The sequence below is a fragment of the Homo sapiens genome, chromosome 7, assembly GCF_000001405.40.
Source record: "Homo sapiens chromosome 7, GRCh38.p14 Primary Assembly".
Classification (NCBI taxonomy): Eukaryota; Metazoa; Chordata; class Mammalia; order Primates; family Hominidae; genus Homo; species Homo sapiens.
Genome location: NC_000007.14, coordinates 102,286,786 through 102,299,809, shown reverse-complemented (window position 1 = coordinate 102,299,809; position 13,024 = coordinate 102,286,786). Strand labels below are relative to the sequence as shown.

Here is a 13,024-nt window from a genome sequence, read left to right as displayed (position 1 = left end):
GGGATGATGGATGCTTTCAAGTGGGGTCCCCATGAGCCTCTGGTGACCTCACTTCCTCAGTGACCTCTTCTGATGTTCCCCAAAGCCCGGTAGAAAGGAAGAAATCACATGGAATCCTGCTGGCTGGACCTTTGAAATATACCGAGGACTCAGCTCCTTCCTCCAGGTCCAGGCTGCCGTCCTGGGATTCGCATAACTATTTTTCCTGCATGCAGCACTCCAGCAGCTGCTTTATGGTCCCCGGGATCCTGATCTTACTTCCTCTAAAGTCTGTTCTCCTCCCAGGAGCCCAGTCATTTCCAAAACTCAAGACTGCCATGTGCGGTGGCGCATGCCTGTAATCTCAGCACTTTGGGAGGCCGAGGCGGGTGGATCAGGAGGTCAAGAGATTGAGACCATCCTAGCCAACATGATGAAACCCCGTCTCTACTAAAAATACAAAAATTAGCTGGGCATGGTGGCATATGCCTGTAGTCCCAGCTGACTGAGAGGCTGAGGCAGGAGAATCGCTTGAACCCAGGAGGCGGAGGTTGCAGTGAGCCGAGATCCCACTACTGCACTCCAGCCTAGGTGACAGAGCCAGACTCCACCTCAAAAAAAAAAAAAAAAAAAGCCAGGCGCGGTGGCTCATGCCTGTAATCCCAGCACTTTGGGAGGCCGAGGCGGGCGCATCACGAAGTCAGGAGATCGAGACCATCCTGGCTAACACAGTGAAACCCCATCTCTACTAAAAATACAGAAAATTAGCCGGGCGTGGGGGCAGGCACAGGCTGAAGCAGGAGAATGGCGTGAACCTCGGAGGCGGAGCTTGCAGTGAGCCGACATCGCGCCACTGCACTCCAGCCTTGGCGACAGAGCGAGACTCCATCTCAAAAAAAAAAAAAAAAAAAAAAAAGAGAAGAAAGAAAGAAAAAGTAATAACAAAAAAATTGTCTTGGCCGGGCACATTGGCTTACACATTGGCCTGTAATTCCAGCACTTTGGGAGGCCAAGGTGAGCAGATTGCTTGAGCTCAGGAGCTCAAGACTAGCCTAGGCAACATGGCAAAAGCCTGTCTTTACAAAAAATACATAAAATTAGCTGGGCAAGGTGGCACACACCTGTAGTCTCAGCTATTCAGGACGATCACCTGAGCCTGGAAGGTTGAGGCTACAGTGAGTTGTGATGGGGCCACTGTACTCCAGCCTGGGGACAGAGCGAGACCCTGTCCCAAAAAATAAACAAAAAAAGTTGATCTGAATGTGGTGACATGCCTATAGTCCTAGCTACTCAGGAGGATTACCTTAGCCTGGGAGGTTGAGGCTACAGTGAGCTGTGATGGCACCACTGTACTTCAGCCTGGGCAACAGAGCAAGACTCTGTCTCAAAAACAACAACAACAACCAATCTGGATGTGGTGGCATGCCTACAGTCCTAGATACTAAGGAGACTGAAGTGGCAGAATCGCTTGAGCCCAGGATTTGGAGGCTGCAGTGAGCTATGATCGTGACAATGCACTTCACTTGGTGATAGAGACTCTGACTCAAAAACAAAACAAAACAAAAACAAAAACCCAAAACCAAAATACAAGACAGATCACATCCCTCCTCTGCACAAAATCCTGCAGTGGTTCGTATTACAGTCAGAGTAAAAGCCAAAGCCCTATCCACAGCCCCTAGGGTCTGACATAATCTGCCTCTGTTTACCCCTCTGGATATACCTCCTGCCACTCTTCCCTGGCTGGACCTGCCTCCTTGCCCTCCCAGAAGCATAGCAGCCAAATTTCTACCTCAGGACCTTTGCACATGCCTGGAATGCTCTTTCCTCCACATTCCCTCACCTTCTTCAGGTTTCTGCTCAACCAATGGCTTGGCGGATAGCCTTCCCTGACCACTCTTGAGAATGACAAATCCCTCTGATGACAATACTCCCTCTGATGCGTTCATGCACTCTGCCTATTTTCACCATTATCCTTATTGCCGGCTGTCATATCATATATTTAGTTGCTTGGTTGTGTGTCCCCTCCACCCCCTTCCCCCGAGAATGCCAGTTTCACAAGGCAGGGATTTTGCCAGTCCTAGAAGCGGCTGTGTCCTCAGTGCTGGGCATACAGCAGGCGCTTGGGAAACACTGACTGAATGAACAAATGAATGAGTTTGGCACACCAGGCATGTCACAGCTGTCACCGCCTAAGCCCTCACTTGGGGCCTAAGGACAAACAGCTTGTTAGTGACAAGACAGGTCCAGGGTTCTCGCCCAGGTCTGCAGTGACTCCAGGACTTGAGGGGTCTCCTCCTAGTGTGGATCAAATATGGTAGTTCCCTCTCGTTCAAGGGGTATATGTCCCAAGAACCCCAGCAGATGCTTGAAACTGGCTAATACTGAACCTCTGTATACTGCGTGTGTGTGTGTGTGTGTGTGTGTGTGTGTGTGTGTAGAGATGGGATCTCACTCTATTGATGAGGCTGGTCTTGAACTCCTGGGTTCAAGCAATCCTCTGGCCTTGGCCTCCCAAAGTGCTGAAATTACAGGCACGAGCCACTTGCACCTGGCCCGCTACATTTTTTTTGGATCTAATAACCCAGACAACTCCTAAGTGGCGAGCGGGTCGTATCCAGAGTGCGGATATGCCAGACAAAGGGATAATTCACATCCCAGGCAGAACAGCGGGATGGTTTGAGACTTCATCCTGCTACTCAGACTGGCCTGCAATTTACATTTGTATTTGTATGTTTACTTCTGGGATTTTCTATTTAATATTTTCAGACCTCTGTTGACCACGGGTATCTGAAGCCTTGGAAAGCAAAGCTGTGGATAAGAACCAAGCGTTTTTTTGTTTTTTGTTTTTTTTTGAGACAGAGTCTTGCAGTGTCTCCCAGGGTGGAGTGCAGTGGCGAGATCACAGTTTACTGCAGCCTCCAACTCCTGGGCTCAAGCGATCCTCCCGCCTCAGCCTTCCGAGTAGCTCAGACTACAGGCAAGAGCTACCATGCCTGGCTAAAGGGACCAAGTTTTTGTACGGACATTGAAGACCTTGCTTCTTTCCATCACAATGGCCTGCACGCTTCTACTTACATTCCCACGTTCTGGAATCTGGCTTCCCCCAGAATTCCCATTCAAATCCGATTTTGAATCCCCAATCCAGGAATCCCAGCTGTCTCCTCACCCCAGCTTCATCCTCTTATTCCCAGGCCCCTCCATCCTTCACAGCTCTGGATGGCTAAACTGCATGGCTTGGGCCCAGCCCATCACCTGGGGGCCTTGCCATTGCCTCTGGGGACACAGGTCCAACCTGCTGTGTGCTTACAGCCCCCATCCAAGCCAGGGGGAAAATTACCAATAGTGATAAAGTGCGGTGATGTAGTGCCTGGGGAGTCCCTGTCTAAGGAGCCGGCTTAGTGTTGGGGGACAAGCGACCATCCTTCCAAGGAAATGAGTTAGAGGATCATGCCCTCGCCTGTCCTCCCAGGGTCCCCACAGTTTCCGGAATGCCCCTCCCTCGCAGCTCCTGGGATCACCATCTCATCTCTCCTCTGGGATCCAAACCATGTAATTAAATGCCAGGTAAAAATAGCTGCCCCATTTCTGTGAGATCATCTGCGAGGCCTCTGGGCCATAGGGCACCGTGGGAATTCCCTCTCTCCTTGGGGCAACCTCGCCATCAATCTGCAGTCAATAACCAAGGGACAGCCCCAGGGACAGAACAGGGCTCCCGGCTGAGCCTGCTTAGCTTCAAGGACAGGTTTCCAAACCAGCGGTCTCCTAGGAGACTCCTGCCTTGGTACTGGGGGAGGGGAGTCGGGAGTTTGGAAGGTTTCCTTCAAGAGGTGGTTATTGCGTTGGGCTTCATGAGTGCAAAGAAAATAAAGAGGGTGCTGGGGGCCTGAACAATGAGTTGGGGGCAGGACTTATCAGGACATTGGCAGTTGGGTAGTGGTGGTGGTGGTTAGAGTTCACGAAGGTGGGGGAAGGATGGGGACTGAGGAACCCACGAGCTTTGCTCATGCCTGACCTTTTCCCTGCCCCGTGCTTCCTCCTTTCTTCCCTAACTCCTACTCACACTTCAATAATTAATCCAGAAGCCACTTCTTCCAGGAAGCCTCCCGACACCCCTCCTTTCTCCCTGATCCAGGCCAGCACAAGTGTCTCCTCTGAGCTCCCACAGTCTCCTCCTGCCTGTCTCTCTTGCATGGTGCCAGTTATAGGGTACTTCAAGTGTCTGTCCTCATGGCTGTCTCCCCATCTGACACAGAGAGTGCGCAGGGCAAAAGTCCAGGCTCCTGGAACTTGCTTCTTCCCTGAGGGGTGGAGACGGGAACACACCTGCCACCACCACCACCACCACCATGGCCTCCAGGGAAGGTCACGAGCCCAGGCCCAGGCCATGACCTGCAGGGGTGGTATTTCCTGGGGTGGGGGTGGGGCCACAGCTGAACCCATGAAACCCTGTCCCTGAGCTCCAAGCCCATCCATTTATCCAGTAGGCTAGTGCTCCTGACGGTGGCCACCTCTCTCTCTATACCATTAGGACCCCCAGGGGGCTCAGAGCCAGTGACTTGGCAGCCTGGGAAGGGTAGGTGTGGGGTCCCTGAGTGAGATGATTATGCCCCCACATGGGGCAGGCAGCGGCAGGCAGGAAGTCAGCCCCAGTGCCGAGTCCTAGACATCAATCCCTGTCGCCCCCAGCTCTTCCTCCTGGCTGGAGGAACCCTTGGTAGGGAGAAGGCACAGAGATGGGGGACAGGGCCCTGGGGGAGGCTCTCGCAGGTGGGTCTCAGGTGGCCCTCACTGGAGTGGGAGTGGAACTTAGAGAGGAATCTTCCAAGGGCATGGCAGGTGTGGCCAGGTCCTAGGCAGGGACTGGCCTGGGAGGCACTGGGAGGTTGGGACTGCCCTGACCTCTCCTACCTAACCCTGCAGGCCACCCAGGAGCCTGTGGGCCTGATGCCTGGCACAGAAGCCCTCAGTAGGTCCAGCCCCGGATGCAGAGGAAGCAGGTTGAGCAGCTAGAGGTATAAGTCTCCAAACAGCAGTGCCAGCAGGGAGGCCCCCACCTGGCTACAGATGGAGAGAGGGAGGCCCGGACATGGTTCTCTGTAGAGGGGAGGCTGCAAGACACAGGGAAGGGGGCCTGGCTGTGGCAGGGGCAGGAGTGCACTGTCCCCACCCATCTTTGGGACCAGAACTGGGGAGGAGACCCCATGTAGGGAGCTTGGCTGACCTGGGCTCAAGACGTGACCCCGTGGGTGCTCCCTGAGTGAGTGACACTGACCACACTCCCAACCTCTGAGCCCACTCTTCTCACTTTCTGACCACTCACTGGCAAGATGGCACAGGAGGTGGTGTCTGCAATGTTATAACCCATGTGCAGGCATGGGCAGGGCGGGAGCTCCTCCAACCTTGGTGCTGCCAAGGTTGGTGTTTCAAGCCCTCTCTAGGGACTTTGCTCTTCCGACTATTCAACATCTCCCCTCCCTTTAGACCGTGCAAAACCCTCTCTTCTGGCTGGATGTGGTGGCTCAAGCCTGTAATCCCAGCACTTTGGGAGGCCGAGGCAGGTAGATCACTTGAGCTCAGGAGTTCGAGAGCAGCCTGGGCAACATGGTGAAACCCCGTCTCTACTAAAAATACAAAAATTAGGCAGGTGTGGTGGCACACGCCTGTAGTCCCAGGTACTTGGGGGACTGAGGCAGGAGGACTTTAACCCAGAAAGTTGAGGCTGCAGTGAGCTGAGATTGCACGACTGCACTCCAGCCTGGGCAACAGAGCGAGACTCTGTCTCAAAAAACCAAACCGAAACAAAACCTTCTCTTCTCCCAGGAAAACTTCCCTATACTGCTCTCCCCCTCTGATCTCCAAGACCCTATGGTCTTTAACTCTCTTGGTGGTCAGCTCTCCTCCTATGGTCCCAAGGTGTCCAAACAGACCAGCTGAGTTGGTGCCAGGCAGTGCTGGACTGGGCTCTGGGAGATCTGGACTCTATCCTGGGCCGGGCCCTGTGTCTCTTGGTGCCTCCACTTCCCTATCAGTAAAATGGGATTGCTGGAGCTGTGTGTGGCTTCTAGGGGCTCCTGATTTTGATGCAGAAGTGATGGCCTTGGACATTGAAGACTGGGCTGTCATTCCATTGGGACTAGGGACAGGTAGGGGGTTGCCTCTCCCCCTCACAGGCTGCTTCTCTGAGGACTGGCGTTGGAGACAAAGGAAGCCCAGCCAGGGCCCCCTGTGGTGCTGGCCCTCCTCGGAGCACTGGGCGGGTAGACCACCCTCCCCCCATCCATTACACCCCCCCACCTCCGGTTTTTCTAGGCTCAGCTGGGCTGTCTGCCTTCTCCTCCTGAAAAAATGTGTTTTTTTTTTCCCCATCTCTGATGGGATGGGGGCTTCAGAGTGGTTTTTGGTGCTGGGGGATGGAGCGAGGAGGGCAGGGGAAGTCTAATGGAGTCCCTGCTCATCGCCTTTCCAGGCCACGGCCTCTCCTAACCCCACGACCAGCAACCCAGACAAGAGACCCCAGCCACCAGCCCGGCTAGACAGTAGGTCCAGCCGGCATGGGGGAGGGGGCGGCGGCTTTCCGGCGGTAAAAATAGCGCTGACAATTGGAGGACCAAAAAAAAAAAAAAAAAAAAAAAGCCGGTCTTCAGCCCCCGCCCGCGCAGCAATTCCGCACCCCAGGGCCGGGTCATTCCTTAAAATATTTATGAGTCGGACTCGCCGCCCCGCCTAATGGGCCCGCGACCAATCGATGCGCGGCACAGTGGGCGGTGGCCCTGGGGGCGGGGAGAGGCAGGAGCCCCGCCCACCTCCAGCTGGCACCCCCCACCTCCTCCCCAGCACCATCCCAGCCACAGGAGGCCAGGAGCACCGGGAAGAGGAGGGATGGTCAGTGGTCCCACAGGTCAAACTAGCTATGCAGCACCTCAAAAGGCTGCGCCCCACTGCCAAGAGACCCCCCCTTCCTCCTGCACCCTCACTTAGCTCCGTCCTCAGAGCAGCAGTCAGAGAACCAAGTGCATGAAGGGGGAGACGGTCAGAACTAAGGGTTCTCTCCTATGTCCTGGGGTGGGCAGTGCCACCTACCCCCCAATGAACCATTCGCTATGGGGAAACTGAGGCCTTTTCTTTTTAGACAAAGTCTCACTCTGTGGCCCAGGCTGGGGTGCAGTGCACTGCACTTTGAACATAGCTCACTGCAGCCTTGAACTCCTGGGCCCAAGCAATTCTCCTGCCTCAGCCTCCCAAGTGGCTGGGACTACAGGCACAAGACGCCATGGCCAGGTAATTTTTTTTTTTTTTTTTTGAGACGGAGTCTTGCTCTGTTGCCGAGGCTGGAGTGCAATGGCGTGATCTTGGCTCACTGCAACTTCCGCCTCCTGGGTTCAAGCGATTCTCCTGCCTCAGCCTCCCGAGTAGCTGGGACTATAGGTGCGTCCTACCAAGCCCGGCTAATTTTTGTATTTTTAGGAGAGGCAGGGTTTCACCATCTTGGCCAGGCTGGTCTCGAACTTCCGACCTCAGGTGATCCGCCCACCTCAGCTTCCCAAAGGGCTGGGATTATAGATGTGAGCCAGTGCACCCGGTCCCAGGTAATTTTTTGATATTTTGGTAGAGATGGGGGTCTCACTATGTTGCCCAGGCTGGTCTCATGCAGCCTCTTCTTGGGGTACCTCCTTGCCTGACACAAGAGACAAGGCCTCACTCTGCTCACCTCCACCATCCTCAGAAAACCTGCCCAGCCATGCCTTCTCATGTCCACTGCCCTTAGGGGTCCTCAGGACCTTAGCAGCACTGGCCTGGCCCACTCAGCCTCACTCTGGACAACATAGGCTCCTTCAATCCTGCTGTTCCTCAAGCACCCTCCTGGCCTCGGTGGGGCAGTCCCTTCCACCCCTGCAGCCTCCTCTCTGCACCCCTCCCTGGGCAGGACACAGATGCTCTTTGGGCAGGTCATCCCTCCGGCCTGGAGTGACTCCCACCCGCTGACTAGGTATGAGTCTCTCTCTCCCCTGCAGATTCAGGAACACAGCACACAGCGCAGTCTCTGCTTCACTGCTGAATACGTGGGCGTTGGTTTTCAAGCCCGTGTTACTGCTCACCTCCGCAGAGACCACATCCCCACAAGGTAGGCTCTGAACCAGGGCCTCCTGCCAGATGTGGCTGGAATTCCCCAACTCTCCCCTCCCAGAATATCTGAGCTCACTCCACCACCCCGGCAGAAGGCAAAGTAGGCATGGCTTCTGGTCTTAACTTAACCCTTGAACTTGCTGTGACTTTGCTGCAGAGTGGATGGGTGGGGGCCTTCTGGCTGGCGATGGGGACAGGTGTGGATTCAGAGCCCTTGGGACTTGTATGCCTCTGTATGGGTGATTAGGTACTAGTGGTCTTGGCTGTTCTGAGCATTAGTTTCCCTAGCTGCTCTTCCGTGCAGATAACTTTCTAGTCCAAGGCTCGGCCTGAGCAGCATCGCTTGGAGGCAGCTATTGCAACAGCCCTGCACCCAGGACAACCCCAGGCCTCTCATGCCACGCTCAGCCTTTGCCACCGCCACGGGAGGGTGGGAGCCCTTCTGCTGAGCCCCCCGGCTTTTGCAGACATCCCAAGCTTGACAAGCCCTGCTGGCACCGGCGTCTGCAGACCCTCAGTCCCAGGGGTTCCCACAGTTGCCTTTGACAGTTGTTCCCCAGCAAAGGGAGCCCCACTGCCTGGGCATCTCCCTATGGCCACCTCTGGTCATTTGACATGCTGGGACAGTGTTAAAAGTCTGAGATCTGGAGCCAGACTGTCTGGGTTTGGATCCCAGCTGCCTTGCTACCCAGTGAAATGACCCCTTGGACTCTGGAGCCTCAGTTTCCCCATCTGTTAAGATGGAGGTGACAGCAGTGCTAAACTTAAGGGGCTGTCATGAAGATTAAATAAGCAATTTGTTTAAAAATCACAGCTCTATTCATTCCCTTTTCCTCCAACTGCTCTTGGCAGGCAGCTGCAGAGGTACCCACTGCCCCAACACATAAACCCAGCCTCCAATGTGGCCAAGGTCAGCGTTCTAGAACCCACATTTCAGTGGGCCATGCCCCTGTTAAAACCCTTCTCCCCTCACATCTTCCCTGTAAGAAAGAGTTGTTTCTCCATTGCAGAGATGAAGAAATGGGGTTCTGGGGAGGGAGGTGACTACCCACCATGCTCTGGCCACCACGCAGTGGTGAGCTCCCACTGTGTGTCAGACGCCAGGTGGGAGGGTCCAGGGCTGCAGAATGGACAAGAGGGGAGGCCGGGTGCAGTGGCTCACACCTGTAATCCCAGCACTTTGGGAGGCCGAGGAGGGCGGATCACTTGAGGTCAGGAGTTTGAGACCAGTCTGGCCAACACGGTGAAACCCCATCTCTACTAAAAATACAAAAATTAGCCAGGCGTGGTGGTGCACACCTGTAACCCCAGCTACTCAGAAGGCTGAGGCATGAGAATTGCTTGAACCCCAGAGGTGGTGGAGGTTGCAGGGAGCGGAGGTTGCAGGGAGCTGAGGTTGCACGCCACTGCACTCCAGCCTGGTCGACAGAGCAAGACTCTGTCTCAAAAAAATAAAAAAAAAAAAGGGGGGTATGGAGCCAAGTTCCAGGCTGGTCCCTTTCTGAGACCTGTTTCTGGGGAACTCCGCTTCCAAGGGCAGAGTGGGAAGACTGAATCCCTGTTTCAGGAAAGGAAATGACCACCTTTAGAGGATGGGGCACTCTGAGCGGCTGGGTGGGGGGGCGGGGGAATCCACAGCTGGGCTCTGCAGGAAGTGCGGGTCAGATAAGCAGGGAGTGGGGGCCAGGACAACAAGCTAAGCCAGGGCCTGTGGGCTCAAGAGGCAGACTCAGCCTCCTTCAGGAGCACCCAGTGCTGGACAGTTCCTGGATGGGCTCTGCAGGTGGAGGACAGGCTGAGCTGGTTCCAGCTGCACTGGCCCTGGTTACTCCCACCCCACCCTGCCTTTCTGGGGTTGCAGAGCAGAGGTTCCCCCCTCCCATCTCCAGCCTTGGCCTGAGACACTCAGCCCCTTCCACTCCCCCAGTGTCATAACTCTCACATGGGCCCTGGCCCAGCCCCCTAAACCTGCAGGATACCCCCTTAGTGCCCCTCACCAACTCATCCCACCCAGCTGCCTTCTGGCTTTTCCAGGACACTCATACCAGTGCCTCCTGAGACCTCTGGTGGCACCCCTAAGATCTGAGCATCCCCGAACTCTGGAGACTACAGGTGCTAATAAAGCTTCCCTGGGCCTTTCTCTGAGCTCAACTCCCAGCCTGGCTGATCTCCAGGTACCTCAAACTCACCACATCCAAGTTCAAATACATCCTCTTCCTCCAACTCCTGCCTGTCCTCTGCACAGAGCCTCAGCACCCAGCTGGGCACTGCCTACTTCCCCTGTTCTGCCCCAATAGCAGGCAGGCCCCCAAGCCCACAGAGGCCTCGGGAACGCCCCTTGATCCTCTTCCCACCTCCACCCTTGCCCCCTGCCCCTCCACCACACCACATGGCTGTGGCCTGTCTCTTCCACCGAACCGTGAGCTCCTGGCTGGTTGTCCTCCCCACCCCCCAGGTGGGCGCTACCCTCAGATGGCCCGGAAGTATGTGGAGAATGGGGCCCAAACCCTGCTTCACCCAGAGGAACCAAAAGATGCTGCACGCCCACACAGCGATGCCCTGCCTTGCTCTGCCCAAACAGGTGTGGGCTGTGACCTCGTGTTGAGGGGTCACACCTGCTATCCCCCTAGACAGAGCATAGCCATAAAACGGCACCCAGCCAGGTGAGCAGGGAAGAGAAACCTCCCCAGGCCCCAGGGCTCTGACCAGTCCCCTGGCCTCACTTGGACAGTAAGAATGAGCGTAGCCCCGGGAAGACAGCAGCCAGGAGGCCTGAAGCCCCTAAACCCCCAATTCCTTGCAACCCAGGCTGGGTAGGCAGGGCAAGAAGTGCCAGCCTCTTGTCAGAGAGGAGTGGTTGGGAGGCCTGGCTCGTTGACTGCGGGACTTTGGGCCAGTCACTTCCCCTCCCTAAGTGTGTGGGGATAATAATAGCACTAAACCCACAGGATTGTTGTAAAGATGACACGAACGGCGATCCTGATGCCCTTAGCTTGGCACAAGTAAGTTTGAAACCAAAAGCTCAGCCCTGGGAGGCCCAGGATCACTTGGGTGGAGATCCCACTTCCAAGACCCCCAAGGGAAGCCCACCCCTGGGTATTTGTATAGAAGTCCTCCCTAGGAGATTCACGCTAAGTAGGGAAGAGGGATTTAGAAACTTCAGACAGATTTTTCACAACAAGGGTAAAAAGAAAAGCGTGTGCATTAACCCTTGATTACCTAGAAGCATTCAACCAAGCAGCATCAGAAGCCGGCCTGCCACGGGGTGGGGCTGTTCTTGTATGTTGGTAGGACAGACCTCTAAGGAAGTAGCTGGTGGGAAACTGTCTCTGAGACCCCCAAAAATGCCCTGATCCACACTAGCCTAAAAGAAGTGCCACCACCGCCACCACCAGACCTCTCCCAAAGCTCCTGGAGCTGAAAAGTTCTAGGTCACTCTCCCAACCTCTTCCTGCGTGGAGTGGGGAGGCCAGGAGGGAAGAGGTTGGGAGAGTTCAAGGTGGGACACAGTAGTGGGGGCTTCAGCTCAAGAGGCAGTCAAAACCTCTTGGGGAAACCACACCCCCTGCCCCCAGTCCTCCCAGAGGAGCTCCAGGGACCTGACTCTGGGACGCAATTCCTGCCGGGAGTTGCCGGTCCCTTAGCCAGGAGGCAGGCAGCACCATCCCATTTTACAGGGTAGGTGATGTTGGCTCGGGGGCATTGGTAGGGCTCCACCCAGGTCTGACAGCCTAGCCTGAGGCTCTCCCTTGCACTAGCTCGAAGTGCACGTAGATCCTGGCTTATTCGTGTTCAGAGTCTCGCCTGGGGCTGCCCGGTCTGCCTTGCGTGGCTCCTGAGAGGCTCCAGTCACTGCAGACTTCCCTCCCTGAAGGCCCCCACTTCGGGGCTGCAGGGGGCCAGGATGCGTCCCTGCCTCTGCCCGGCTTCAGCCCGCTGGGCTGGCGCGGTTCCGGCCCGCGCAGCCCGCAGGTTCATCAATGGCCGAGGCCCAAGGGCCTGAATGGAGGGCACGAACCCGCCCCTTCTTAAAGGCGCCGGCCTCTTGGGCACCCTCCACGATCCTCCCGGCAATCGGGGGCTCCGGGGAGCTCCCCGGCTGGGCAGGTCGAGAAAGGGGGGCCTGGGCCAAAGGGAGGGCGTGCCTGTGGCCTGGAGGAGGTCCTCCCCGATCCCATCCCGTGGCCCTCACCCTCATTCTAGGTTGACGCCCCCTCCCAGCGCTCCCAGCGTAGGGAAGAGACCTGGGCACCCCTTCCCCCAACCAGAGACCCCTCCTCTAAGGACCCGGCTGCTCTCGCCCCACTACCCGGCCGGGGCCCTAGCAGGGGGCGGGGGCGCAGCTGCTCCAGAGGCGGCTCGGCCCCTCCAGCGGCTCCCCGCCCCGCCCGGGATGGGGATCGGGGAGCAGATCCCAGCCGGGGGCGCCTCCCCTCCCTCGCGCGCCCTCCTCCCTCCCACCCGCGCACACAAAGACGACACGCGCGGACCAAGGCGCGTGCGGCCGCTCTCCTTCGGGCAGCGGTGCGCACACAGCGCACGTCCCCGGGGACAGACAGGGGTCCCGGGGGAAGGACCAGGGAGCGAGGAACTGGGTATAAGGAGGCCATACCTACAGGCGCGCAGCTGCGGCCGAGCGGGCTGGGGCGCCGGCTGAGCGCTGCCCGGACCGCGGCCGGGCTCCCCGGGCCCGGTGGCTCATGGCCCGCGGCGGACTGGGCTCCCTCCCTCGTTCACCGCCTCGAAGGCTCCTGCGCTCCTCGCGGTCCCGGCGCGTCCCCCGCGCGGCTCTCTGGCAGCCGAGCTCCGCGCGCTCCAAGCCCAGCCCCAGCGCGGCGCGCCCCTCCGCCCGCGAGGCGCGCGCCTCCCGGCCCCGCCCCGCCCCCGCCCCCGCCGCGAGCCCCGGCCCCGCCCCCCCTCG

General features: G+C 57.1%; 1 protein-coding gene and 1 non-coding gene across 14 annotated transcripts in view, besides 6 other annotated features; both read right to left on the bottom strand.

Moving 5' to 3' along the window:
* The window catches only part of SH2B2 (SH2B adaptor protein 2), a 36,571-nt gene that overhangs the window by 21,902 nt on the left and 1,645 nt on the right, over positions 1-13,024 (bottom strand). For 4 of the 13 annotated variants that reach the window (NM_001359228.2, NM_001359230.2, NM_001393993.1 and 1 more), the window contains exon 1: positions 12,716-12,942. The exons of 5 other annotated variants lie outside the window; for them this stretch is intronic. Coding sequence is in view for 1 of the 8 variants with exons in the window: in XM_047419779.1 (XP_047275735.1) it covers positions 11,323-11,332 (10 nt within the window). In the remaining 7 variants the exon portion in view is untranslated. Of the gene's footprint in view, positions 1-10,292; positions 10,345-11,322; positions 12,150-12,715; positions 12,943-13,024 lie in introns of those variants that run through there. 4 more of the 13 variants (NM_001359229.2, NM_001359231.2, NM_001393994.1 and 1 more) reach the window with 2 other exon arrangements.
* Positions 4,953-5,706: an enhancer, noted in NCBI's record as "H3K27ac-H3K4me1 hESC enhancer chr7:101937369-101938122 (GRCh37/hg19 assembly coordinates)". NCBI's record gives its function as "activates a minimal SCP1, AML or CMV promoter by ChIP-STARR-seq in primed H9 embryonic stem cells {active_cell/tissue: H9 hESC(primed)}" and the evidence as "EXISTENCE:reporter gene assay evidence [ECO:0000049][PMID:30033119]".
* MIR4285 (microRNA 4285) lies at positions 6,623-6,707 on the bottom strand. Its single transcript, NR_036245.2, has one exon. It is a non-coding gene; the product is annotated as a microRNA 4285 (primary transcript).
* Positions 9,715-9,794: a silencer, noted in NCBI's record as "silent region_18501". NCBI's record gives its function as "represses an Ori minimal core promoter by ATAC-STARR-seq in GM12878 lymphoblastoid cells {active_cell/tissue: GM12878}" and the evidence as "EXISTENCE:reporter gene assay evidence [ECO:0000049][PMID:35858748]".
* Positions 10,145-10,284: an enhancer, noted in NCBI's record as "active region_26423". NCBI's record gives its function as "activates an Ori minimal core promoter by ATAC-STARR-seq in GM12878 lymphoblastoid cells {active_cell/tissue: GM12878}" and the evidence as "EXISTENCE:reporter gene assay evidence [ECO:0000049][PMID:35858748]".
* Positions 10,475-10,524: an enhancer, noted in NCBI's record as "active region_26422". NCBI's record gives its function as "activates an Ori minimal core promoter by ATAC-STARR-seq in GM12878 lymphoblastoid cells {active_cell/tissue: GM12878}" and the evidence as "EXISTENCE:reporter gene assay evidence [ECO:0000049][PMID:35858748]".
* Positions 11,195-11,284: an enhancer, noted in NCBI's record as "active region_26421". NCBI's record gives its function as "activates an Ori minimal core promoter by ATAC-STARR-seq in GM12878 lymphoblastoid cells {active_cell/tissue: GM12878}" and the evidence as "EXISTENCE:reporter gene assay evidence [ECO:0000049][PMID:35858748]".
* Positions 12,435-12,974: a silencer, noted in NCBI's record as "silent region_18500". NCBI's record gives its function as "represses an Ori minimal core promoter by ATAC-STARR-seq in GM12878 lymphoblastoid cells {active_cell/tissue: GM12878}" and the evidence as "EXISTENCE:reporter gene assay evidence [ECO:0000049][PMID:35858748]".